Below are 26,666 nucleotides of genomic sequence, written 5' to 3' on the forward strand. Positions count from 1 at the left end.
TGAAACTTCCATCCAGTGGGTATTGTCCTACTTTTAAATTGGTTCAAAATAGGATCATCAAGGTATCTAGATATCCATGGCAAAGAATCAGCTCTTTTCTAATCAATGTAAGTCAATCATTGAGTTATTGATTGAAATAGTTCACAGTTAATTTTATTCACTCACTATTAGGACAGCTGGAGAAAACAAATCAATCCCTTCTTTAAGTCTCTATCCTATCAGGACCATCTTCCACAAAGAAAGGGAAAAGGATGGCCAACTTCTTGTTCAGGCCACATAATAGCCTTTTTCTTTCTCTCTCTGGAAAGTATTGTGAGTTGATATAAATAAGCTACTCTTTTCATAGTCTGTAATTCCTCTTGTTAAATGACATTAGTCATATTTATCCCCTTTTGTTTAACAGACAAATAGAAATTCAGAGATATGCTTGTATTTTTCCTGCACATAATTTCAAATAAAATCAGTAATTTTCAAGAAATATTTTGGTTAGAAATTTTGTTAGTATAAACTATCTGTGAAAAGTAAGTCCAATATACCTAGCAGATAAAATACTACTTGGTATATTGTAATTAAGTGGTAATTGTTGTTAGGAAGGAAGCTTGTCCATCTTCTGACTCTTGTATCCCCAAATGCTGAGAGCATATTACTGCTCTGTAATGATATTCAGAATTAAATAATCAATATTTTTGGATAGAAGAGCCTTGGTTGTTCATAATTTGAAAACAGTATGAATCAAGTTTGTCAAAATGTACTTGATATGTATGGCTGATCTGATAGAGCTTGATCTTATCATGACAGAATATTAAATTTTCGTAACCAGTTTTTCCAGGGAGAAGTAAAGAGTAGGAAGACTCAATGAGGATTTTAATTCACTGAATTTCAGACATTTCTTCCTGGAGAGAAACCTGTCTCTTCTGGAATGAGCACTGGTTCTCAGGAACTCACACAGGTCTTTTCTGTTTGGTACAGATGCTCAGATGGGAATATCCAAGGTTTAACCTACAAATCTTAGGACAATAACATAGGAACTGTTAATTCATATGCTTGGACACATGAGAAGTCTGAAACTATGCCATTAACTTTAGATAAATGATACTTTTTAAGTGAAGAGAAAAATAGTGGTCATTGTGGTGGATGGTAGTGGTGGAAAAAATGAGAAAATTCTCTTTCCTGGAATAGAAAAATGTATGGTTCAATGTAACATATGTATGGGACTTAATAGTATACCAGTTACATTATAGCATAGAATAAATTTATGTGAAAGCAAAGAGAGTAGAATATATAAGGCACTTTGGAATAGGGAATCAAAGTTTACTTTAAGCATGTAAATTTCCTAATGTTTTGTTGATAAATAACAGACTTTTTTTCTTTTTTTATTGGTTTGTTTTGCTTTTAGTCAATTCTATTTTCTTATTTATTTCCACCACAACAGTAAATATTTCATCATAGCAGTAATACTTCTTCATATTGAAAAATTAAATAGACTGTCACAAATTTTAACACAGTATCAATACCCACAATATTAACCAAACATTTTGCTATACTAAAAATAAATCACAAAATAGAAATATTAAGTTAAAATGTAACATTGCAATAGAATCTACCAGAATAAACATCTGCTTCATTCTACTTAACTATGTTTACTGAAGGATAACTAAGGTTACAGTTTTAATCCTTCCCCATTTTTGCCAGCTTTTATGTATTTATCATACCTTTTTTTTACAACCATGACAACTCTGTTATTTGAGAATTTTACCTTTTGGAGCGATTTTGTGGTCTGTTTCCAAACAGTTATCCAGCAGCACCTGTACATCAACTAATATGTGCTTAGAATGCAGAATGGAAATATCAAATAATCATTTGATAATGAAAATAATTCTTCCTTTTCTGAAGTACTAATCTAGCTAATACCCATTATAGCAGACTACATTTATATTTCTTGGAGACCCTCCATCCCTTCTTGAGTCAAGCAAGGACAAAAGGTCCTTCATTATTTGTTAAACCTATTACATCATATATAGTATCTTCACAGGTAGTTAAGATAACAGGTAGTCTAAAGGTAGGTTCATCAGATTCTGTAATGAGCAGTTGGTTGAATTCTGTAGACAAATCATTATTAAATTAGACAATATATATATTACTTCATCTGTGGTACAAACCTAGTAATTAATTGCAATCCATAAATTTAGTTACATCAATCATTTATTGTAAACTTACACGGGTAAATTACAACAAAAATCCTGGAAATTCATAAATTATCACTTTGCCTGGTGTTCACTCTTTTGCATGTAGTGATTTTTTTTTACTTGTGTTTAATAGGAGTTTTGCTGGTGGTTAAGTATATATTTCAATGGTCCGTGTAAAGGAAACAACAGTAGACAAAGAAAATTGTATTTCTCGGCTGACTGTATTGTCTTTCCTGAGGACCCTCATCATAACAACTTTTTCTCTGGTGGTAAGAATTAAAAATCAGTGAATGTCTGATCAGTGAATGGAAGCCAGTCTCTGTTGTAAAATCTTCTAAGTGTAGCTGACACCAGTTTCTTCTTCCTCTTAACTTTTTTCTAAAATTATAGATATTACTCCAAAGCTATCCAATGAAACATGGTCTTGTAGGTCTCTTCCTCCCACTCTGCTTTGGATTGTAAATCTATTGAGGACCAAAACAGTTTTTTATTTTTGTTATATCCCCAATAACACTATACATGGCATAAATGATCAATAAGTTTGTAAAACCCCTTCATATCAAGGCAAATTTGATAGAAAGTATACAAATATGATAGCTGTTATAATGTCAGAAACTGAAGAGATAATGATTCACCAAAAATGTGAAAAAGTTGTTAATATACAGAATTATTTGCCTGCAACAAGCTTGTAATTATACACAAAGGAGCAGTAGCTTGCTTCCCTTCTAATTATTAAATCAAAGATGTATGATTTTGCTAGAATGCAAAATGGCAAGTTTAAGGACTCCAGTTATTCTCAATTTGGGCCTTTCAATTCTTTGGCAAACATTAATCATCTTTTCCCTAAGATTTCAAGGAAGCAAGCTATCCATTTTAGCCTCCATAGTTTCAGGCACAATGGATTGTATATTTTAATATGACAACAATCTTCTAATTATTTCCATTTCCCACTATAATGTCAGCTCCAAGAGAGAAGAGATTTTTTTTAATTCCATTACTTGCTGCTTCTGTGGGGTCTGTAACAGCGTAAGAGCTCAATGAACATTTCTTAGAATCATGAATCAAAATAAAGATGCAAATTATCATATGGCTAAGATTGCAAGTTTTGAAGTCAGATGTCCTGGATTGACCTATCCACAGCAAATGTGGTCATGTTACTAGTCACCAACCTTGCCTCAGTATCTTCCTCAGTAAACTTTGGATGGTAATAGTATGATCTTCATGGCGTTGTTATGAGGATTAAATAATTAATTCCAAATAAAGTGCCCAGAAGAGTTATCTGCACATAATATGCATTCAATAAGTGTAAGAGCTTAATATATTAATATAATTTAAAATTCAAAACTTTTTATAGCCAAAATTACAATTCTTTCTGATTTGAGAGCCTGTGCTCATTCTACTAAACCTTTCTGACCACGCAGAACATTACACTTTATGCAGAATACAGTTTTCTCGAAGACAAGTAATACATGAGCACAAAGAGAAAAGCAATTGCTTTCTTTAAGCAGCACATACATTCATACTATTAATTTAGTACAACTCAGGCTTAAACCTCAATTTTGAGAAAATCACTGAGTGTAAGAATTGCCTTTAAGTTATGAATTGGTTAGTTGTAATTGTTAGAACAATAGAAATGTAACATGACCCTTGAGGTGGGTGGCTCTGTCTGCAGAGCACAGCCACCGCTGGATTTCTCAGCAATGCTGCTGGCCTTCTATCCAGTGCTTTCCTGATGCCCTTGGTGATTAGATTGTCCTCTGGGTCCTCCCTGGAACATAATTCTCTCATAAGTGTTATGGCCTCACCTAGTACATACATTTCAGGATGTCCACATCTGAGCTTTTTTTTTACTTTCTCTGCCAGGTCAACACAGGTATTTTCACTGCCCTGATTTTGGGTTATCAATTTATTTAGGCTTCTAAGAAGCTGCGTTAGCAGCAAGGTTGCCTCATCCTCAGGCCCTTGCCAGAGCGTTAAATCCCTGTTCTGAAAAAGTGCCTCAAGCCAATGAATTTTTCTTTAGCTTAAAAATTGTATTAAAAGTTCTGGTTAATGTTTTAATTCTCAAGACAGATTTCCAATGAATCACCCTGAAGTAGTACCTGCAATGACGTTGCACACACTATTCTCTGCAATCAGCTGTGCGAAGACAGCTGTCACTCCTCTTCGTCACTAAAGGGTGAGTTTGACACTAATACATTTTTAAGAACTGTTGTATAAAGTTGTTAAAGTTTGACTATATTTTCCAAATCCCAACCAAAGTATTCATGTCTCTGCATTCTTACTCGCTCTGGGAATAAGGAAAATAGTTTTTCTCTGCACCAAAAATATATTTGATGAAAACAGTTGTGACCAATTATCCTTCAGTTGCTATTCCCATTGCTCCTCTAGTTACCCCAGATGATTGTGTTTAAAGTTGAGCTTTTTGTTGTTTTATTGATTTTGCTTCCCTTTTAAATAATTTATGGTGGGTGAGACATAACCATAGATATGTTATGATATATCTGATTTCATATATTATACCCCATTAGACAGAAATTCATCAATCTTGTGTGTGAAATGGAAAAATCCAATACCAAACTTGAGGCAATATCTTTTTCCTTACTCTGAATTATGACTCATCACCGTCAGATTAATCTTTCTAAACTGTTATGCAAACATGCTTTCTATTTTTATATGTTTTGGGGTGTATAGTATAAATATGCTCATATATACATTGATATATGTAAGTATATGAAGCCTCTGTTCATACTTGTATGTAAGTGCAAAGGGTAACTTTGTGATAAAATTTATTAAAATTAATTATGTTTCTTGCAAAGTGTAAAATTTTGGTGGGTTTTTTTTTTTTGTTTAGTATCACTTTTTAAAATTGCCTATGCATTATTTGAACCAATCCTCAGGTAACCATATAATTCATCATCCAAAGCAAGACTTCACTGAGAGTAAAAGAGGGCACTTTTAATATATTTGCTGGGAAAATGGCATGAAAGTAGACCACCCTGGATAAAAAAGCATGTACCTTTGGCCTATTTAATCCTCATGAGGGATTCTCGTTCAGAGAAACAAGTAAAGGCAGTTGACCAGCTGTGGATCACACAACTTCTAATTGTTAGGTTTCAAATTCAATTCCTGTGTTTTCAATTATTTCTTCTTGCATAACATCTTGCCTGGTTCTAATCAATATGGCCAGGAATGCTCTTTGCTCACTCTTTCAACAAGTTGACATAGACTTGCTGTGAATTTCTCTTGTGACATTTATCTTACTTTACTTGTGTTATCGATATCTGCATACTTTTCTTATCTCCATTTCTAAATTGTGTGTAAAACACCTATTTCGAATATAACATTTAACCTTTCATTGTGTCTTAATTATCTACTGCTTAAATTACCCCCCAAACTTCACAACACTAAGCAACAAATATTTAGCCCCTTTTTTTCAAGAAAGCTAGCACATGTTTGCAGTTGAATCATTTTCTAAGCCTGTTTTCTGGGAGTTCAATGACCCCCTTTCATTCTGTACTGTCTTTCTCACTTACAGTGCAAGCTGGTGGCTGATAGTGTTTCTGATGATATAATTCTCCCAAAAAAACTCTCCGGCCTTTTGTGAATCTGAGTTTTATTCTGTCAGTCAAAAGCTACACCCACAAATCCTTGAAGGGTACTAGCTTTCTATTTAATTTAACAATCCTATATCAATATTATGTCTTTCAGGGACTATAAATACTTCTGTCTTATCTATAAATTTATGAATCAGTTTTACAATCCTATTGTTTTCATCATTAATTAAATAAATTGTTGACTCATCCTCTCTCAACTTGTAAAAGAATCAAGTCTTTAAATGTTTTGAAAATTATATTTTGAGGATAGATTAAGTCTGAGAAAACAATAAGATTTCTATCATCAACATAATTTTGTTGGTGATGATGATGGCATATCTTTTTATTTTGAAATTATGTTTCAATAAAGTTTATAAATGATGAATAGAAATGAATGTCAGTAGAAGACAATAGGATACATAATCTGCCTTAGACAATGGGACCTCTAGGATAAATAATCTGCCTTAAGTAAGCAGGTAACTGGCTGGCTAAGCAGGTTTTTTCTTTCTCTTCACAAAATATCATAAAATTGCTCAGTTAAAAAAAAGTTGATAGACCTTGTTATTAGAACAGTACAGCTGGCTGGAACTTTTTGCTGGAACCTTTAAATATTTAAATATTCCATTTATTGGACTGTATAGTGAAGAATTCAAGTCTCCATGGGAGGTATTAAAGATTAATACAATTTTTTTTTGCTCTGTGTAATTTAAATTTCATATTAAGGAGAAACCTTGTCATCTTCTTATTTAATCAAGAAGGCCATTAATTGAGGATCAAGTAGATGAATTAGCTAACTTACTTATCTGGAGAGAGACCATAGTAAGAAATGAGAAATCAAATATCATCACTTCCAGACTGACAGAAGCCCCTCTTGTATTTCAGATATGCAGAGCATACAAAGACTAGAATAAACTTTGATTTTCTACAAGTGTAGGTAATATCCAAAAAAAAAAAAAAAAACCCACGGTAGGCTCAATTTTATGGCATTTTCTGTGCATTGGAACAATTTCAGCAAAAACTCAGGCTCTCAAGCTCAATGACAATCAATGATACTGAAAAAAAGTCACATATTATGAAATTCACTTTGGCAAACAGTAATCTGATAAAACAGAAATCTCTAAAAGAGAAAGCTTTTTGTAGAACTAATTCTTACCTTAATTTTATTATATAGGGATAAAGGTGCCATCATCTACAGTTTAAGTAACTTATATAACCATTTTATCTTCAGACTACTTTCTAAAAAGTTTACTTGAGAAATTCAGAAAAATTTAAACACATCAACTGTTTCTGATATCCTTTATGCTTGCTTGCCCTTCAGTCATGTTCCAACTCCAGAGTGTGCATAGCCTTTAATCCAGTGTAATAAATCATGAAATGATTTTTTCTCAGCAAGACAAAAGGGACATTACTTGAAATGTTAGCATGGCATTGGAATAGTGGGGAAGGCTGATGCAATTATCCAGAAGGTCTGTTTATTCCTTCTTCATTCCTCTGTACCTGAGGAAAAACATTATTATTCAGCACAGTTAGCTCTAGCATTGCATCAAGAGTGAGATTAGAAAATACTGATTTATAAGGAGAATTGTAGCTGGAATATGAAATTCAGATAAACAAAATGACTTAAAGCAAAATGACTTTTAAATTTTTTGTCATGCTACTCTAGTCTGTTTCTTGCTATCTATGCTTAAGTTATCTAATAATTAATATTAAGAGTTCTGCTATTTATATCTATATCAACTCCCACCCCAAATATATAACTTTATATTCAGTTGCTGTTTCATCTTTGAAGCAAGAGAATTCTAATATGTAGGCAAACAAATCATGCTGTCGCATGACAAATGTGCCATAGAACATTAGGCCCCACGTCCTGGGAGGGAAATAAATAGCCTTTGAAGGGTACAGTGTTCTTATAGTCTAAAGCAAATACTGAGAGGTGGAGGTCCTTATCTAGATTTTTACCTTCTCTTTCCTTTTTTTTTTTTTTTTTGTGGTTGTTGTTGTTGTTTGAGACAGAGTCTCGCTCTGTTGCCCAGGCTGGAGTGCAGTGGCATGATCTCGGCTCACTGCAACCTCCACCCCCCAGGTTCAAGCGATTCTCCTGCCTCAGCCTCCTGAGTAGCTGGGATTACAGGCATGTGCCACCACGCCCGGCTAATTTTTGTATTTTTAGTAGACAGGGTTTCACTGTGTTGATCAGGCTGGTCTCAAACTCCTGACCTCGTGATCCACCCACCTCACCCTCCCAAAGTGCTGGGATTACAGACGTGAGCCACCGCACCCGGCCTACCTTTTCAATATAAGTAAAGTTTACTGGGCTTCCTTGAAACACATACATTCAAATTTCTTGATTTCATTTATTTTGTAAAAGTATACCAGTCAAATAAAATACTACAGATTGGAATCCATGTGAGCAGAATGCAATACAAATCTTGCTGCTACAAGGGTGCACTCCTTTGCACACGTGCTCTTGGACCTTTCCTGTCTTTCAGATCACATGTTTTGAGATGCAGAATAATTTATTAGTTAGCAGAGCAATGCCATATTACCAATATGACTGATTTGAATTGAAAAATCAAAGTATTTTGTATTGCCCTTAAAGTAATCTGTTGAAAGAGACAGACGGTAAAACAGGTGTAGGGGCTCATACAATAGACATATGCAGACTTTCTCTGCACACTAATTACAACACAAAATGCCAACGAGCGAAAAATAAAAAAAAAATGAACAAGGATTTAAAATACCTGAGGAGCATTTTAGAAATTATAGTATTTAATCCTGGTAAGCAGGAAGCTGTAATCAGTCTATTTTACTATATACTTAAGCAGGGTAATAACCATTGTGAGCCATTTGATTCTCCAGACAAATGATAATTCCTCTAGTACATCTTCTAATCCTTTTTGATAAGATGATCCCCAAGTTCTTTAAAGTATATTTTCTTTTTATAAAGGAGACCTGGATTAGAGTCACGGATTCCTAGCTTCAACTAGGCCAACTTTCCTCCCACAGAAGGAGGGACAAATTTAAAACATTCTTTTTAAGGTGTATTATAACTAGTCGACTTAACGTTATTCAGAAATGTTCAGAATTATATACAGAGTGGTGATATTTTTAATAAAAATAGCGTATGTTACAATTTTAAAGTTCATCTGTGAAATCGATAGTTATGAAATGTTTTTCATCATATTTCAAATTTTGACCATTAAACTTTCCTATCAAGAACTACATATAAAAGCTCTCTTACGTTTAAGCTGTTTTTAAAAGTAAACATTGGGCCAAGCGTGGTAGCTCACGCCTGTGATCCCAGGACTTTGGGAGGCTGAGGCGGGAGGATCACGAGGTCAGGAGATCAAGACCATCCTGGCTAACATGGTGAAACCCCGTCTCTACTAAAAATACAAAAAATTAGTTGGGCGTGGTGGCACGCGCCTATAGTCTCAGCTACTTGGGAGGCTGAGGCAGGAGAATCGCTTGAACCTAGGAGGCAGAGGTTGTGGTGACCTGAGATAGCGCCACTGCACTCCAGCCTGGGTGACAGAGCAAGACTCCATCTCAAAAAAAAAAAAGTAAACATTGATAAACCAGGAGTTAAAAAAAGCAAATTTCCTTGCAATAAAAGTATGATAAAATGTCACTAAAATACCATAAATTAAATTTGTATATTATTAATTATAGTTTTCAAGCTAGAATTAGTAAGAACACTGGTACCTATTTTTGAATCTTAATGAGATACCCAGCAAAGTGCCAAGGTTATTCTTTGGTAAATATGAACAAGATATGAAATATGAAAGCACCTGAATTTAAGATAAATAAACCTTAGAGGTCACTGGGTCGAGCCTCTTTAATTTGCACAGGAAGTTTAAACTGGGAAAGACATAGATATTTAAATATCCAGGCATTTAAATATTTAAATATCCAGGCATTTTCCCAGCACTGGTAATAAAGGCCAAACCCCTCAATGATGAATATATGTTGCAAGTCGTTTTGATCTGATAGCAAACATGCTGATTCATATTTTCTATTGACTAATCGACATGACATTGCATTACATACTAATCTAAAGGAAAGGCATTCTGAATCACCTCCTTTGTACAGGAGCAAATCTGGACTTGCAAGGAGATTTGCAAATATGAGCTAGTGCTAACACTGCTAAATCTAGTACCTAGGAAGTTAGGAATGAAGAGCAGACAGATCTTGTCCCTGCCTTGTTAACACTGAAATATCAAAGCAAGTCCTCAAGGATCTTACTTGCATTAAGGGCCTTTTGGTCTTGTGATGGGGAGGAAACTGAGGCAGAGCCTTCTGAACTGGAAATGGGAACTCAAAGTATGATGATTAGGGTCCCATGATAAAAGAGGGTTAAAACATCTTTAGTTCTTCAGAAATATGCTCTAGGGCTATAGGAAATGTTCCCACAGTTAGATGGAAGTGAGAGGGCACTATAAGGATCTAGAGGAAGGTAAAGTAAATAGCATTTATTTAGAACTTACTACATGTCAGACACTAAGCTAGATTGCTTGCATTAAAATATTTTCTCGACTCCTCGAAATTCTATGAAGTAGATATTTTTCTCTGAATGTGTGAGTTCCTTTGAGAAGACCACACATAGAATACATACGTTTATTAGTGGGTAGGAAAGATTTCTACTCCAACCCTAACGGAGCCCAAATCAGCTATGGTTATAGAATAGTGATAAAATGCACTTTCCAGAGCCAGACTAGCTGGGTCCAATGCTGGCAGGCCAGCTGAATGATAGAGAGAAGTCACTTCCTGTAAGCATTAGTTTTATCTGCTGTAAGACAGAACTGATAGAGTGTTTGTGGAAGTGAAACCAGGTAATGTGGGTGCAGATCTTAGCCCAGTGCCAGGCATCCAGTGAGATCTCAGCCCCCAGATCTTGCTTGTATTATACATCTTTCCAGCAGATGGAGCAATAAACCTATAAAAGCAGGGTTCTTGAGGGACCCAAAGGCCCAATCTCCTCAGAGGGACAATGGGAAATGTTACAACTTAGGGAAACACTGTTTCCTCTTGGAGAAAGCATTATGATGGCTCATAGCAAACAGTTTGGTTTGGAGCCAACTTCAGAAGACCCAGAAAACCAGTACAAGATCTGGGGACCTCAGAAATCTGTAAGAGGAACACTGATATATGGAAGGCCAGCAACCCTGACACTGGGGACCAAAATAGCCAGTGTTGAGTCAGCCGAGTAGGGCTGCCTGCAACATTTTCTCAGCTCATCACAAACTTCCCAATGTGGAGGAAACTGAACTCCTGAGGCAAGATGGGGGAATAATAATGATAACAGCTAGCACAAATGTTATCATCTCAGAATAGTGTCCTAAGTTAGAAGGAAACTGAGTGGTTAAGTAGCCTTCCCAAGGTCTCAAAGTTAAAAGTGATGAAGCTGAGAGTCTTACTCATTATGGGTTTCTATGGAGGTCCAGAGACACCATCTTAGCTCCCTGGTGCTCTCCTGTGTCCCAGTGAAAGAGTGTCTTAGTCTCCCCAGGGGTCATGGCTTTGAAAAGGAGAGTGTGACACGGAAGAGGAATCTTGTTTTTATAATTTTCTGTCTCAAGTTTCTTCAGGGTCCCTCTACAATAAAGGTACAGAAGATTATTCTCTATATACCCCAACCTCTTTGTCCTTCTCCAGCCTCACCCCAAAAGTGTTTTTGTTTGTTGTTTTTGTATAATTGTGCTTCAGAGTTATGTTTAGAAAGTTCTTCAATGGAAACAAAAAAACAAAAAAGATTTGTTGATGTTTGTATCATTGAGTTTCAGTGAAAGAAGCGGAAGCACTAAGAGATATATACATACATAATAATTTTTAACAGATAGTTGACTTCTCAGAATTGTGAGGCGGGCTTAGTAGTGTCTGTAAACGGTCGCCTTTATGTCTTGTCAGAGATGTTGGAACCAGAGCAATTCCATCTTGAATAGATGCTAGGTAAAATAAGGCTGAGACCTACTGTGCTGCGTTCCCAGGAGGTTAGGTATTCTTAGTTACAGGATGAGATAGGAGGTTGGCACAAGATACAGGTCATAAAGACCTTGCTGATGAAACAGTTTGCAGTAAAGAAGCTGGCCGAAACCCACCAAAACCAAGATGGTGATGAAAGTGACCTCTGGTCATCCTCACTGCTCATTATACTCTAATTATAATTCATTTGCTTACCAAAAGGCACTCCCACCAGTGCCATGACAGTTTACAAATGCCATGGCAATATCAGGAAGTTATCCTATATAGTCTAAAAACTGGAGAGACCCTCAATTCCGGGGTAAAAGGGTAAAGATTTTACCCCTTTCCTGGGAAAGCTCATCAATAATTCATCCCTCGTCTAGCATATAATCAATAAATAACTACAATTATACCAATCCAGCAGCCCATACCACTGCTCTGACTATGGAGTAGCCATTCTTTTATGCCTTTACTTTCTTAATAAACTTGCTTTCACTTTGCACTGTGAAATCGCCCTGAGTTCTTTCTTGCACGAGATCCGAGAACCTTCTCTGGGGGTCTGGATCAGGACCCCTTTCCTGTAAGAGTCTGATGCTGGAGCTCAAATTCTATAGGTCAGACAATCAGGATGGGAAAGTGGATGTGAAGTAAGACACAGAAAGAAAACACTGGAACCCACAAATACAAGCCTTTGAACCTGGTAGAATGGGTGTCTAAAAAAAGCTGGGACATTTATTCAACACACACACCTGCCTGGAAGTCAGAAAAACTAAATGCTTTCAAAGAAATGTGGAACAGTTGCAGGCCTGGCTGCTGCCTCACAACAATAAAGTGAACCAGCAAATAAGCAACAGTGTGTGAGAGTGAAAACGGCTGTTGCTGTACTTCTGCCCTCCAAATAATCCCAGAAGAATCTCTCATGTGGCCATCCTAACCAGAAACATACCAGAATGAGAATTCTGGGAAATGTAGTTCAGTCGAGCCAAAGTGACACAAGGCAAAGTGACCACAATCAGCCTCTTTTCGATTTGGCATACATCCACATTTCATTAAACCATACTTAACCTCCAAATAAAGGTAATAACAAAGTCAGGCCTCTGCCTACCAAACATACAATATCTTGAGGACAATCAAAAGGCAAGCTAACCTGGAAATACATGTCCAGAAAGGCAGTGTGAGGAGGTTTGTGGATCAGCTTCCCAGTCAAACAGCCATATTTGGTAAAAATTACTTTTTAAAAAATTAAGTCTTGAGACATTGTCCAAAGTACATACATTAAACATGAAGAAACATTTATTCAAGAAAATCTATTAAACTGTGGCAAGAACAGCAATAGTCTCCGGCATTTGAGCCATGACCTGCCCATTCCTGTCCTCTCCATACTGGAGGTGATAAGAGAGCCACTTCAGGTGAGTGTGGCCAAAAACACAGAGATCCCCCACACCTCAGCTCAAGGGTTGTGCTATCTCTCCCCAGGACGAAAAGCCAGCAGCATTTATCATCTCCCATAGCTCTGCATTGGCCAAGGTAAATTCCAGATGAGTGAAAACAAAGGGTCAAGGATCTCTAAGCAGCTCCCACTCTCAGAACATAAGCTCTAGCCCAGGAACAGCAAGCTGAGAATACCGAGGTTACAATCATCTTCACCCCAGCTCACTTATTGGATGGAGGCTGCAGACCAGGAGAGGCAAGCCAAAAAGACCAGGAATGACCAACCCTAACTGGCACACTGCTCAAAATATAAGGCAGGGGTTCCCAGGGACTGGCACCAGTCTATGGTCTTTTAGGAACCGGGCTGCACAGCAGGAAGTGAGCAGTGGGTGAGGGAGCATTACTGTCTGAGCCCCGCCTCCTGTCACATCCATAGTAGCATTAGATTCTCATAGGAGCTCGAACCCTATTGTAAACTGCACATGAGAGGGATCTAGGTTGCACACTCCTTACGAGAATCTAACTAATGCAGTATTCTGTGAGGATAAACAGTTTCATCCCCAAACCTCCCCATGCCATCAGTGGCAAAATTGTTTTCCACAAAACGGATCCCTAGTGCCAAAAAGGTTGGGGACTGCTGATGTAAGGGATTCCTCCAGAAAAAATGACCCACTGCCCCAGCTCCATACTCTGGAGCAGTGGCTCAGAGTTTTGTACAGAGAAGAGGTGAGGCATAAGAACAGAATGCTCTGAAGGTCACTCCAAAGGAACTGACTTTATATACAACAGAATATGGGAAGGTTCATGACTAAGGAAGCTCTCATAAACAAAGAAGATTTTGATTGGAAGCTATTATTAGGAGGCTGATTGCTCCATCAGAGCCAGAAGCTATAGGAAAGCTATAAGAAACGAAAAGGAAAATAGTAACAAGGTAGTCTATAAATTCATAGATGGTAGTTTTGACAGAGACACTAAGGAAATCTAAGGCAAATTCATATCCAGTGTGTCTATTCTGGTAAAATGAATGCCTTCCTTAATCAAAGCAGCCCATTGCCATCAACCTGCCCCCATGTAGCTTGCGGATACCCTTGGGGAATAGTGACATATCACTGTGATCACATTGGATGACTGATGGGGCACTAATTAGTGGCTATGGTCATATTGGCCTCAGTAAGTGGAAATACATGTATATAACCTCCATCGTACCACCATGACTACTTTATTCATCAACTGATTACATGAGACCTGAGGCTGACTGACATTCACCAAAGGAATCATTTTCTTTCTTGATTGTTATAATCCTTCTATAGTGAAGTCACTCTGGTGAGCATCCACACACAAATATCTCCAAAGATTTTGCCCATTTGACCATCCAGCAAATGCACCCATCAGACTGCATTAGCTGCAGTCTGAGTTGCTATACACCCATCCTTTTGGTCATTTCTCCTTTCAAACTAAATGGACAGCCAGGTATGAACCCTGAATTTGTGTCCACTGGAAGAATTTTCTTTCCTTGCTCCCCTTCAGGGCCTTCTCAGAGGAGGGCTGTAGTGCAGCAGTCATACCTCTTGGACCAGTTCCTGAATTTTCCTTCCTCAGGAAACTGAGCATAGGGATCTCCCCATGAATCCTCAAAAACAGGTTGAGAAAGAAAAGACACTGTTTCTGAAGTAGGAGCCATGGACGTCCTGGCAACTTTTTCACGCAACTTACTTGTGCCCTCAGGGCCCAGTTCCATCTGATGATGGAGTGCTGGTGTGCATGCCTGACTTTATGGTATGATGTATAGGATTTTGCCCAGATCACGAAGGGCAGTTCAGGTCACATGGTAACTAGGCAGGTCATGGTCAGATGTTCAGTTTCTACTGAGATTCAGTAGCAAACCAAAAGCTGTTCTCAGAAGGAGACTACAGTTTTTCTGCAGAGAATAGCCTGCCTTTGCTCCAAGATCCTAAGTGCTTTGTTGTGTGTCACCTTTAGGGGCCTGATGTAAGCTCCAAATAGAGAAGTTCTCTATCTGTCATTGACACTTTGAGCATCAATGGATTTGCTATGTCATATGGTCCAAGTGGCAGAGCAGCTTGCACAGCAGTTGGACCTGTTGCAAAGCATTCCTTTGTTCTGAGCTTCACTCAAAGTTATTGACCATCAATAAATGTGTCAGTGTACCACACACAAATTCCGAAGATACCTATCAGGGTATTGTTCATTTTTCTTACAGATTGGATGGGCCATATACAGTAACTGGTCCTTCACATTGAAAAGGATATATCAGCATGGCCCATACCACTGAATAACTGGAAATTTTGGCAAGCTAGCATACTAATTTTTTGTGAGATTTATTTCTCATCATCTGGCATGTAAGTGTCCTACCAATGTGCTCCTTCATACCTGACCCAATCAGAATTACATAATCAATATAATGGATGAGTATGTTCTCTTGTGGAAGGCAACTGTGATCAGGATTCCTGGGCTAGAGATTATAACTTTTTGCTGGGGAGCTGCTATATCCCTAAAGTAGGACGAAGTGTACTATTGGCCTTGCCAGATGAAAATATACTGTTTTTTATAGTCTTTATGCAGGTCAGTAGGTATATACCAGAGAGCAGGGGATGTGTTGCTTTGCTCCAGAAATGAAACAGCAGCTGCAATTTGAGTTTCCATTCAATTAAGTTTACCTAATTCACTGTCATTCTCTGAGATCCATCTGTCTTCTGCATAGGCCAAATAAGCCAGTCAACTGGTGATGTGGTGGGAATCATAACTGCTACATCTTTCAAGTCCTTGTTCATGCCACTAATGTTTGTAGTGCTTCCAGGAATGTAGTATTTCACTTAGTTTATACCCAATTCATGAAGAGGTAGTTCTAGTGACTTACCTCACTTCACAGGTCAGGAAAGAAACAAGTTCTTGGGTATGTCTCTTCCAATTATGCATTTCAGAAGTGGGTAAGTGATGACAGAGGATGTTTGGGGACCAACTGGGTCCACTGTGTGAGAACCTAAGCCAAAATCCATTGATCACCTGACCTCCAAAAGCCCCTTATTTGACTGGTAGACCACAGTGACATCTTGGATTTCCAGGATTTAATGTGATTTGAGAGCCAGTGTCCACTAATTCCCTTAAAATATGCAAAAACCCTGGTCAATGCATGCAAGTCCCATGGAGCAATGCTGGGCAGTGATTAGCATGATATATTTGTGGCAGTGTGGCAAGATCCTTCCTCAAGAGGACCCAGCTTTCCTTCCATTCAAGGGGATCTGAGTATGTAAGGTGGCTCAAGTTTGGGAAATGATTAAGAGGCTGTGGCTCTGTTTTCATAAATCAATTTCACTGGACTTAGAGCTTTTCTGCTTACAAAATCAAGACTTCAGTACCACCTACAGTTGATTCTTGTTATTCACAGTAGTTATGTTCTATAAAGTCATCATGAATATTGAATTAGCAAATACTGGCCCATTGCTCTTAGGAGAAATATAGCATTAGGTTCCTGCAAACCTCTGGTCACAACTTTTTATCAATTGATCAATACATAACCTTATTTTATGTGCGTTTCTGTTTAAAGATACTTGGCCTATTGGCCAAGAGCATTACAACTCATTCCTGAGCAGAGCTGATCTAATATATGTATTTTTTCTGTAAGGCACAGCACAGCCTTCGTGCACTAAAGAACACTACACAGCACTTTAGTACTATGATGGGGGCCATTTAAACAGCAAAAGCAATCATTAACAAAAAGCACAAAAATGCAGAAAATGTGCCGCCACATAGACCATGAAAAGATCACTTGTTTACAGTATGAGAGCCGAAACAAGAAGGCATAGCTAGGCCTTCTTTGACCTCAACTGGGAATACATGTGTCTGTGAATCAATTTTTTTTTGCCACTCTGCACACATTTATGTCCACGAATGACCTCAAAAGCAGTGCTAGTGTTAATTTTGTTGTTACATAAACTTTAGCAAGTAGGTGAATTTGCAAATACAGAATTAATGAATAATGAGAATTTACTCTATTTTAGTTTATGGAACACCAAAGTTAGTTAGTCAATGCCAAAGAGCTTTGAGCTATACTCTTCTGATTATGACTTTGGCTCTGCTGTCTATTATGATAAGCATGCCCACTTTGTCTTTGTCAATTAAGTGCTTCCATTTGTCCCCTGCCACCATGAAACCTCATCATTCTCATTACTTCTAGGAATCCCAGTCTGATGGCAGCAGTCCCATGGTAAGATCTGGTCTGCAGAGAAGAACCATCACAGAACTCTCCAAGAATATATTTATCAAAGCCATGTGGAAGAGAGTATCCTCTGGACCATCCCAGGATGGTAAGCAGATCTTACATGATAAATCCATTCTAGCATTTCAATTTTCATAAGGCTTTGAATTCCTTGTTCTTCTATGTATGAAGGAGATTCGGGTATTTTAATGTTACTTAGTGTAGGCTGCATTTAGATCTACGTATCAGTCAAGCAGCCAACCAAGGGGTTAGAACAACTTCTAGCTGCTCTCAAGCTAAGACATTAAATTTGGAATTTTTGCTAAGTGGGTTCCTATCATTAAGTTCCCTGACCCAATTTAATATTTCTTCCTTAAAGTTCCTTTCCCACAGATATTCTCCGGATTTTTGTCACTATAAATTGGAAAAAATGTGCAATTCTTTCTGTCTGTATTATACCTCTTCAAAGGTTATGCTTTTACCATATCCACTGGTGTCTACTGGGACTTGAGTTTGATTCTAGGTCTAGAAGCAAGGAGAGGATGTGGAGGTATATCCTGAGAAGGATCAGCAGTGCCTTGCAAGTCAACCTACCCAGGGGAAGCCCTTACAGGTTCTTCAGACAAGGAGAGGCTAACCACCTCAAGCAAGAATAGAAGGGCTGCTTCAACTGACAAACAAGGCTTGGGGAAATATAGGGGATCAAGCACTCCAGTATCCTCAAATCTGCTCATATGTCCCTACCCCTATTTTCACAAACCTACTCCTTCCCTAATCAATGCCTTAACTTTAACAGGAGACCTTATGTGGTTGGGGAATCATTTGCATTGCAATTCAGTTACGCTCAAGATTAAAATTTGATTTTGATTTTCACAAATCTCAGCTCTATAACTACAAAACATAGAGGAATCATAGAAGCTTTCCAGTCCCTTGTGCAGACTTTGAGCTGGAAATGTAAAGTTCTGCACCTGTCATGTATTTTCCCCCCAAGGTCTCCAGCATAGTTATAAGCAACCAACCAACCAACGCCATTATACTCAGTTTTTTAGTAAAAGCTTTTATGACAGCAAATACATGGTCACCAGAGCCTGGCCATCTGTAAGTACTTGATTACAAGTATCTAAAAGTGATAATTTATGTAACTGCTTTTCCACTGCATGACATAGTCTAGCCCTCTATACCATTGGAAACATATAATGACCTTCATATGTAATAAGATCAAAGAACTAATTTCAGAAAACCCAGAACAAATTCAGATTAATCACTCTTAAGATTCTGTTCTTCTAGAACTATTTCTGCCACCAAACTAGTATCAGACTTTCATTAGAGAAGCAGTATAGATATGGATATAGACACAGATAGATACTAAGCAATTTAATATGGAGATTTGACCTTATGAAATCTGGGGAGCTGATTAAGCAATTGTCTTTGCATTTAATTCTAAACCTTGAAGTCCACTATGCAAGCAATTGGGAAGGAAAGATGGACCTAATGTGGTAGAGAGAAGGAACCACCTAGAACTCACAAGCATGAGCTGGAGCCTACAAGGACAAACTGAGACCTGTCAGTCCTTTTTGTGTGTATGACCTTGGTGAAAAAGGTGTCCTGCAGAGGCAAGGGCCCACCTTCATGGAGCTAAGCACATACACCCAGGAGTCAGAGAAACTAAAGAAGAATCTGGCAGAAGACAGAGCAATTGCCAGGCTCACTAATGGCTCACACCAATATATGAGACATGTCAGTAACATATATGAGCTGCAGAGTGGTTAGTGCTTCATCCCCAGTCTCTAAATCTCTCACAAGAATATATCTTGATCTTATCATAACTAGAAGCATGCAAGAAAGGAAATTTTAGAAAATTAGTTCACTCTTACAAAGTTGACACATTACAAAGCCACCACAGTGTCATTAAAACGCCACTCTGAAGAATATAACATTCAGAGCCAAGTGAGATTGCTGATGCCCATTCCTGGGAAGACAACAACACCAAAAAAATGAGACAAGCTGGTTTAATTACAAAGGGAATGGGCAGGATGAAACAGGCCCCTCAGGAAGGGAGACATAAAAAAGGAATAAAGAAGGAGTCAAAAAAGATACTTCTAGCACTACTTCAAAGTAGTCTCTACACTGACTAAATGTGATCTGAAAGGAAGAGTCAAGAAATGTTTACACTCTGGACTCCAAATATATTTCTAGGCAGTTTGAGTATGCCTGGATTCTTTCAAGTGAAGAGCTGAAACTATATGCCTTTTCCAGTCTTGGTAAATTCTAATAGCAAATTTATAATTCATGATGCAGGATTTTTCTCTCCTTAGTTCAGCTAAAATCCAGGTTCTTTTCTCACAACCAGAAAGAATTAGGCACACGGACACATTGAAAGGTGAGGGGGATGCAATTTATTAAGTGAAAAGGAAAACTCTCAACAAAAAGAGGAGTCCTGCACGCAGGTTTTCCACCTCACAAGACTTGAATACCAGGCCACCACACAGGAGCTGAAGAGGCCCAGCTCCTGCCCTGCATAAAGTGTGAATTCCTGGTGGCTCCACCCCATTCTCCCAGTGCACATGTCTGGGCCTGGGCCACTCTACAATGATTTATTTCCCTTACTGAGAATGTGTTAAGGGACAGAATTTTTCACCACGGGCATGTTTAGGCAAGCTGCCTGTGCACAATGACTTGGGCAACATTTGGCTGTCTCCTGCCTCTATCATTAGGACATAAAATATGCTCTTCTCTCATATAAAATGCTTCCACTCGCATGCCTTCAGAAACTTTTTTTAGCCAGAGCACTAGCTTTGTGCAAAACCTTCAACACTATCCAGGCAATCTTAGACCCATACTAGTAATTTTACCAGGACGAAGATCCCTGCTGTAGTGAGGAAACCAAGTTAAAGCAATTGATCCATAGAGTCATTAGCACTCAGCTAAAATTGCCCAGATCATTATAGGACTCAGATTACAAAGGGAGTGGCCAGTGGGTGAAGAGGTGTGGAGTTCCCAAAATGGCAATTATCAGCATAGTGCTCTGACCCATTTTCAATATCTCATTACCAACTTGATAGCAAGAGAGCCTGTGTGATCAGCATGGAATGTGAAGACATTAAGAAGCAAATGTTATTATCTACAAAGTTATAGAAGCAGAAGTAATTTAGGCACACTACTTAGAAAGTGTAAAGTCCATAGGTCCAAAAATTTTAAAACATAAGTCTGGTTCAAAGACTGCAAATATTGACATTCTAAAAAATAAATAAAATAAATTTGATATTCAAAATAAAACAAACAAGTAAGAAACTATATAGTATTGTTTGTCAGATCATTTCAATTAACTAACACTTGATCATGGGAATAACATTTTTAGTTACGTATTGTTATGTAGCCTCATGTGTAGATGTAGAGAAAACAACAGTTTGGTCGGATACTTTTAAGACCAATTAAGGAATGAGTTATAAGTCTCATTACTTTCATTCTGAATTTAACATGCAAATAAAAAAGTAGGCACTACCAAACTTACAGCCAACCATTTCAACTATTCAGCCACATGACTTTGATCAATACCTATAGAATAGACTTTATACTCCTCAAAGTGATTTGCAAAGCAAAGACACTTTTTCGGAGAGGAGGAGTCAATATCCTTGAAACTCATAAAAGTGATTTAAAGGAGTGTTTCAAGTCCAAGTTGTCTTTCCCTTTCATCACACTGGAGCACCTTGTTAAACAGTAAGTAATGGTAAAAGAGCATTTAACAATCTGCTTCACGTGCACCTCTTTTCCAGCCAAATTGCACCTACAAAGCTAAAACAGAACCTCTCTGGATTCTCAACAAACATGAACGGAATATTTTATGGTTTGTGCAGTAGTTACAGTGTGTTGCCGTTTCTTAATTAGCAGGTATATGGATGCCTGTCTTTCATCTCACGTTATTATTGTTGCAGTAATTCAATAAAAGTATCCTAAGCATTTACATTGTGGAGCATTTTTATGATTTATACCAACAGAATGGCATACACAGTGTTGTACATCTCCTTTAAAAGTCATCACTTTATTTCATATTCTCATATTCCTTTTAAGAACAAGAAATATTGTAGTTTTCAGGACATGCTTTTACTTTTTATCATTTCTGTCTATCTGTGAATTTCATTCTTTCACATATTCCTTAACAATCCTCAAATCGATTCTGCTGAATGGTGGCAATGTTTTTCTGAAATCTCTCATGAGAGAGTAATGAATTGTCCTCTTAATCCATTCCATTAGATTTTTATTTTAAAAAATAAGTAACATTTTCCCCTGTCTGGTCACTAAGTAGATTTACACTCAGCCTCTTCAAAATGACTCATGAATAGTCAAAAGCACAAGTCCTCTATAGAGAAATAAAATATATGTATAAAGGAAAATTATTATAATATCTTTTTAGTATTGATACAGGAGTGGGGCAGGGAAGTGCTGAGAAGGGAAGAATGTGGTCCCTGGCTAGGCTCCACCCCAGGCCTGTGCCCACGGACCTAGGTGAAGACAAGCACTCCTGCTTTGGCGTGGAAATGTTGCGTTTCCCAAGACCACTCTGGCCTGCCATGCCCCCACCCTGTGCCTATGAAAACCCCGAGACCCTAGCAGGCAGAGACACAAGCAGCTGGACGTTGAGAGGAATGGGTCGGCGGAAGAAGACACAAGCAGCTGGGGATCGTCCTGCTTCAGTATGACATTCTTCAAAACCATTTCTAACTTCAAGGGTCAAGGAAACAGGGTTCAGTTGAACAAAATCGTCACGTAAAACATGTCGTAGACCTTCAAGTTGTTTCCCTTTACACTGTTCTACTTATTTGTAACACAATAGAGTCCTAGTGATTTGCTTTGGCTTTGAGACTTCTTCATTTGCATAGCCGTGCTATACCCACTTGTCTGCCTTTGCATTTATCCTGCAACCTCTCTACTTGGCCTCCTGTAAACATGTAATAGAAGCAGCAAGTAGCAACTTTAGAGAAATGATAAAGAGATTTTTTTGAAGTACTATTTGGTGTCTATAGCATCAAAATTAGAAATATCAAATAAGAGATTTGGGGATGATATTCAGTTAACTTTAAGGTGTTGTTTCAGTGATCAGCAAAGACACCAGAAGTAGGAGACAGAGGCTGAGCTCTGGTCTGGGCCACTGGATGACTACTAGCAGAGTGAGAGGCATTTTAGAGTATAGCATTCTAAGCACCCACATTTATTGTTTCCCAACTAGTTCCTAGAAAAATCTCTTGTGAATACAAGAGAAAGAGAAGGACTATAAGCATTGTTTTAATATCAAGAAACAGAGAAAGCCAGACTTACCTTAAGAATGGATAGGAACATCCTTTCTTTCCCTCTACTAGAAATTTCAGAGAGGAAGAATGACAAGGACCACACAGGGAAAGGGAGAACAATATCAGGGTTGGAACACAAGAGAACAGCAGTGTGGCTCAGGTCAGCATGACTGTCAGAGTAACACAACAGATAACCCCAGTGATCAGAGATATAAATGCAGAACATCAGTTATAGAAAAGCAAGTTTTAAAGCCTACAAAAGAAAATGGACAAAACATTCAAGATTCCATAGAAGGAATAATTATTATAATAATGATTGCTGATACTTCAAATTTGCCAAAAACTGTCTTAAATATTTTGCATATATTATTTCATTAATATCCAAGCCATTCCTATGGGATAGGGACAATTATTATGCACTTTATACGGATGAGGAAATTGAAGGATAGTGAGCTTAAGTTTCTTACTTATAGGTGTAAGAAAAAAAAAAGTAATATGCTGAACTTTGAAAGGTGGAATTTTAGATACAGTCTGTGCTCTCAATCACTGCAGATTCCTGGCCACAGCAAAGAGGAAGCTTGGGTTTGCATGTCCAGGACCTCCACCCTAAGTATTCAGGCACTCTTTTTGACATCATTGCTGTTGTTACTTAGGTGTATCTCCTTGGTTGTGTTTCTCCATTCTGCTATAAAAACTGAGAAAACACAGGTGAGTAACAGAAAATACAACTTAAACATGGTGGTCAATAATAGTACTGGCTGTTTTTAATTTTGTTATTCATTCACTTATCTATTTATTCATATATTGAACAAGATACCCCACCCTTTACTTCATTTATCCAGCATGTGTCCTAAGTGGTGAGTAAATAATCCATTAGCACTTTCAGGCCTATGTGCCCACCTCCTTTCTCGGAGGAAGCCATGTACAGCCTGTAATAGTACATGTCTTCATTATTTGCTTCCCAATCACTAATTCAGTAATACAGAAAGAAGGTCACAGTACAGAATTCCTCTGCTACTACAATATAAGTATTAACATATTTTTAGTAGTTCTTTGTGTTCACTGTGAAAATATTTCAATATCAAAATAAAAGGCACAGTTCTGTTGGAACTAATATGCTGATAATTAATGTTTGATAAAATGGTTTTTCTGTAACATTACTGAAATACCAAGTTGAGTCACACAAGCACACATACTCAAAAAGGTTTTGAATTATCAAATATTTCCAATAAAGTGCAAGTGAACAAACATCAGCATGCAAAGAGGGAAAAGCATAATTCTCTAAGACAACTGAAAATTATGCAAATGTTAAATGCCATTCAGACTTCGTTACATACGAAAAACATTCCTGAAGAGATAAATACCCTTTTCAATCAGTTCATACGTATTCCCACACAGGTACACTACCTAAAATGTACTGATCAGTGACCAAAATCAATATAGTTATATAAGTTCTATATATAAGCATGCAAAATTGTTACGCTGTTTTACCAGCAAGTGACTCTTAGTTGATCTGAAATGGAAATAAATCTACAATCTACTGCCTTATTTTTCTTCACACCGCCTGATTTTGAAGATGCAGAGTAAATTAAAGGTCACTCAGTGACTCATATCTAAACACCGCATGGTTAATCCTGAACATCTACTTCCTGAGCGATTCAACCAGTTACGCTCTGAGCTCCACAATCAATAAAATGTACTGGAGTCTTGAATCCATTGAAGTGCTTTAAAATTCAGCCAGTATAACCCTTCCTGCAAGTGTTCCACTGCTGTTTCCCCAGTGTGTGAGCTCTCCCAGGAGCTGACACAAAGTAGCTGTTCCACACTTTAAAAAGGGAGCACCAGTTGCCAGACTTGAAATTGCGGTGGGGATTACAACAAATTCCCAAACCACCCTACAGCAGAAACAAGCAGCTAGACTCATATGTTAGAATAGCAAAATAAGATGGAGGAGACCGAAACTTTTACACCATAGAATCTTTCGTAGCAACTATTAGGTAACATTGATAAGACTTGAAATTAAGGATATTTGGCTATAATAGCAGCTGGGAAGAAAAGTAAACACTTGTAAGGACAATGAATGGCGTGCACGCGCACACAAACACAGACACACACACACACACATACACACACTCAGCCTTAAAGACTGACACACTGGTCATTTGCCACAACATGAATAGACCTAGAAGACATTAGGCTAAGTAAAATAAGCCAGATACAGACAGAAAAATTTTACATGATCTCACATGTGGAATCTAAAAAAAAAAAAATCAAACGTATTGAGCTAGATCATAAAACAGTGTTACCAGGGTCAAAGGAAAGAGGAAATGAGGAGATGAAGGTCAAAGGATGCAAAGTAGCAAATATGTAGCAGGAAGAAATCAAAAGATCCAATGAGTACTGCAGTTAATAATAGTGAATTGTGTTCAGGATTTTTGCTCAATGACTGTTCTTATCACAGTGAGGAGAAAGTGGGTAACTACGTGAGATGATAGATATGCAAATTTGTTCCAGTATAGTGACCATTTTAAATATATATGTAAATTTACACATACATATTTACGTATATAATGGTCACCACATATGTAAAGTTGTGTGTGTACACACACACATATATATTTGTCTTATAAAATAATGCTGTATATCAGCAGTCCTCAATCTCTTTGGCACCAGGAACCAGTCTCCTGGAAGACAGTTTTTCCGCGTACCTGGGGTGGGGGCAGGAGTATAGTTTTGGGATGAAACTGTTCCACCTCAGAGCACCAGGCATTAGTTAGCTGCTCAAAAGGAGCACACACACAACCTAGATCCCTCAGTTGGGCAGTTCACAATAGGGCTTGTCTCCTGTGAGAATCGAATGCTGCTGCTGATCTGACAGGAGGTGGAGCTCAGGCAGTAATGCTCACTTGCTGCTCACCTCCTGCTGTGCGGCCCTGTTACTAACAGGCCACGTGTAGCTACTTGTCCACAGCTCGGGGGTTGGGGACCCCTGTTGTATACCTTAAATATACAGAATAAAATTTACATTAAAAAAGAGATGATTGATAATTTTAGTAAGTTTTGTAAAAAGATTTAATTAGTACATTATATACAGCATGTATTGCCTTGTGGTTTAGTTATTTATGCAATATTGTGTTCAAAGTAGGCTGTAATCCACGTTTTGTTACATGTAACATGCATGTTTTGTTCATTTTTGTATCCTTACAGATCTTAACGATGCTGTGAACTTGATAAGCATTTAATTGAATCCTCCAAATATAAAATTTTAAGTGGTCATCTTAAACATAGCAAGACTTGAATTTAAAGTATTATACCAAATCAAACAGTGGCCAGATGGCGATTTTAAAAATTACAAACTCATATATTTCTTCCATTCTACAGAGACTAATCAGTCATTGAATATTATGGATGAGTCTTTGAAAAGGCATTTTGCCCCGTCTTCTGCCCCTCAAGTAAGTGTTTAGCTGTATCATTCCAAACACATGAGAATCTATTTGGCTCCAGAACTGCAGGGAAATAAGGTACAGTCTTCCTCAGTAAACCCTGCCACTGATAATATTATCATGTATGAAATTATGAATGAATTTATTGACTAATTGACAATATGTCAGTTGGAGAATTTAATCTTGAGTGTACCGTTTTCACAATGCAGCAAACTTTGAAGTTACTATCAAAAGCCAGATGTCTTTAAGGTATGTTAAAAATTCAGTCAAAACTTTAAAAATTTAATAGGAATAATACAAGCCTTGCTCTGTAGATTGTTTGAAGGTTGCTATTGCAACGCTTGAAAATCAAATATAATGTAGAAAAATTAAAGTCTGGTTAAGGTCCGTTAATTATAATGCAATGCTTCAGCCAAACAACAGCTTGGCTTTAAATCAATACCCAATTAAATAGTTCCTGCAGTTCTAGTCATTAATTGCTCTGTAGCTTAAAAAATAACATTCTAACTACTTATAGAAAGATAATCAAAATTGGCATGTGAAACTTC

The 26,666-nt window shown here is 37.6% G+C and overlaps 2 long non-coding RNA genes across 3 annotated transcripts in view; one reads left to right on the top strand and one right to left on the bottom strand.

Annotated features, from left to right (window-relative positions):
- Nucleotides 1-26,138, top strand: LOC105377447 (uncharacterized). Of its 2 annotated transcripts, none has more exons than XR_939242.3 (6): nucleotides 1-107; nucleotides 2,320-2,455; nucleotides 4,256-4,365; nucleotides 17,370-17,499; nucleotides 23,228-23,383; nucleotides 26,057-26,138. It is a non-coding gene; the product is annotated as an uncharacterized LOC105377447 (long non-coding RNA). The 2 variants fall into 2 exon arrangements; XR_007058271.1 differs by lacking the exon at nucleotides 26,057-26,138 and adding an exon at nucleotides 25,883-26,015.
- LINC00616 (long intergenic non-protein coding RNA 616) overlaps nucleotides 2,185-26,666 on the bottom strand; it is a 103,264-nt gene continuing 78,782 nt past the window's right edge. The window contains exons 8-11 of the long non-coding RNA NR_037866.1: nucleotides 23,143-23,369; nucleotides 6,936-7,279; nucleotides 3,356-3,465; nucleotides 2,185-2,650 (exon numbers count right to left, since the gene is read on the bottom strand). This is a non-coding gene — a long non-coding RNA (long intergenic non-protein coding RNA 616). The remainder of the gene's footprint in view (nucleotides 2,651-3,355; nucleotides 3,466-6,935; nucleotides 7,280-23,142; nucleotides 23,370-26,666) is intronic.

The sequence above is a fragment of the Homo sapiens genome, chromosome 4 (genome assembly GCF_000001405.40).
Source record: "Homo sapiens chromosome 4, GRCh38.p14 Primary Assembly".
Classification (NCBI taxonomy): domain Eukaryota; kingdom Metazoa; phylum Chordata; class Mammalia; order Primates; family Hominidae; genus Homo; species Homo sapiens.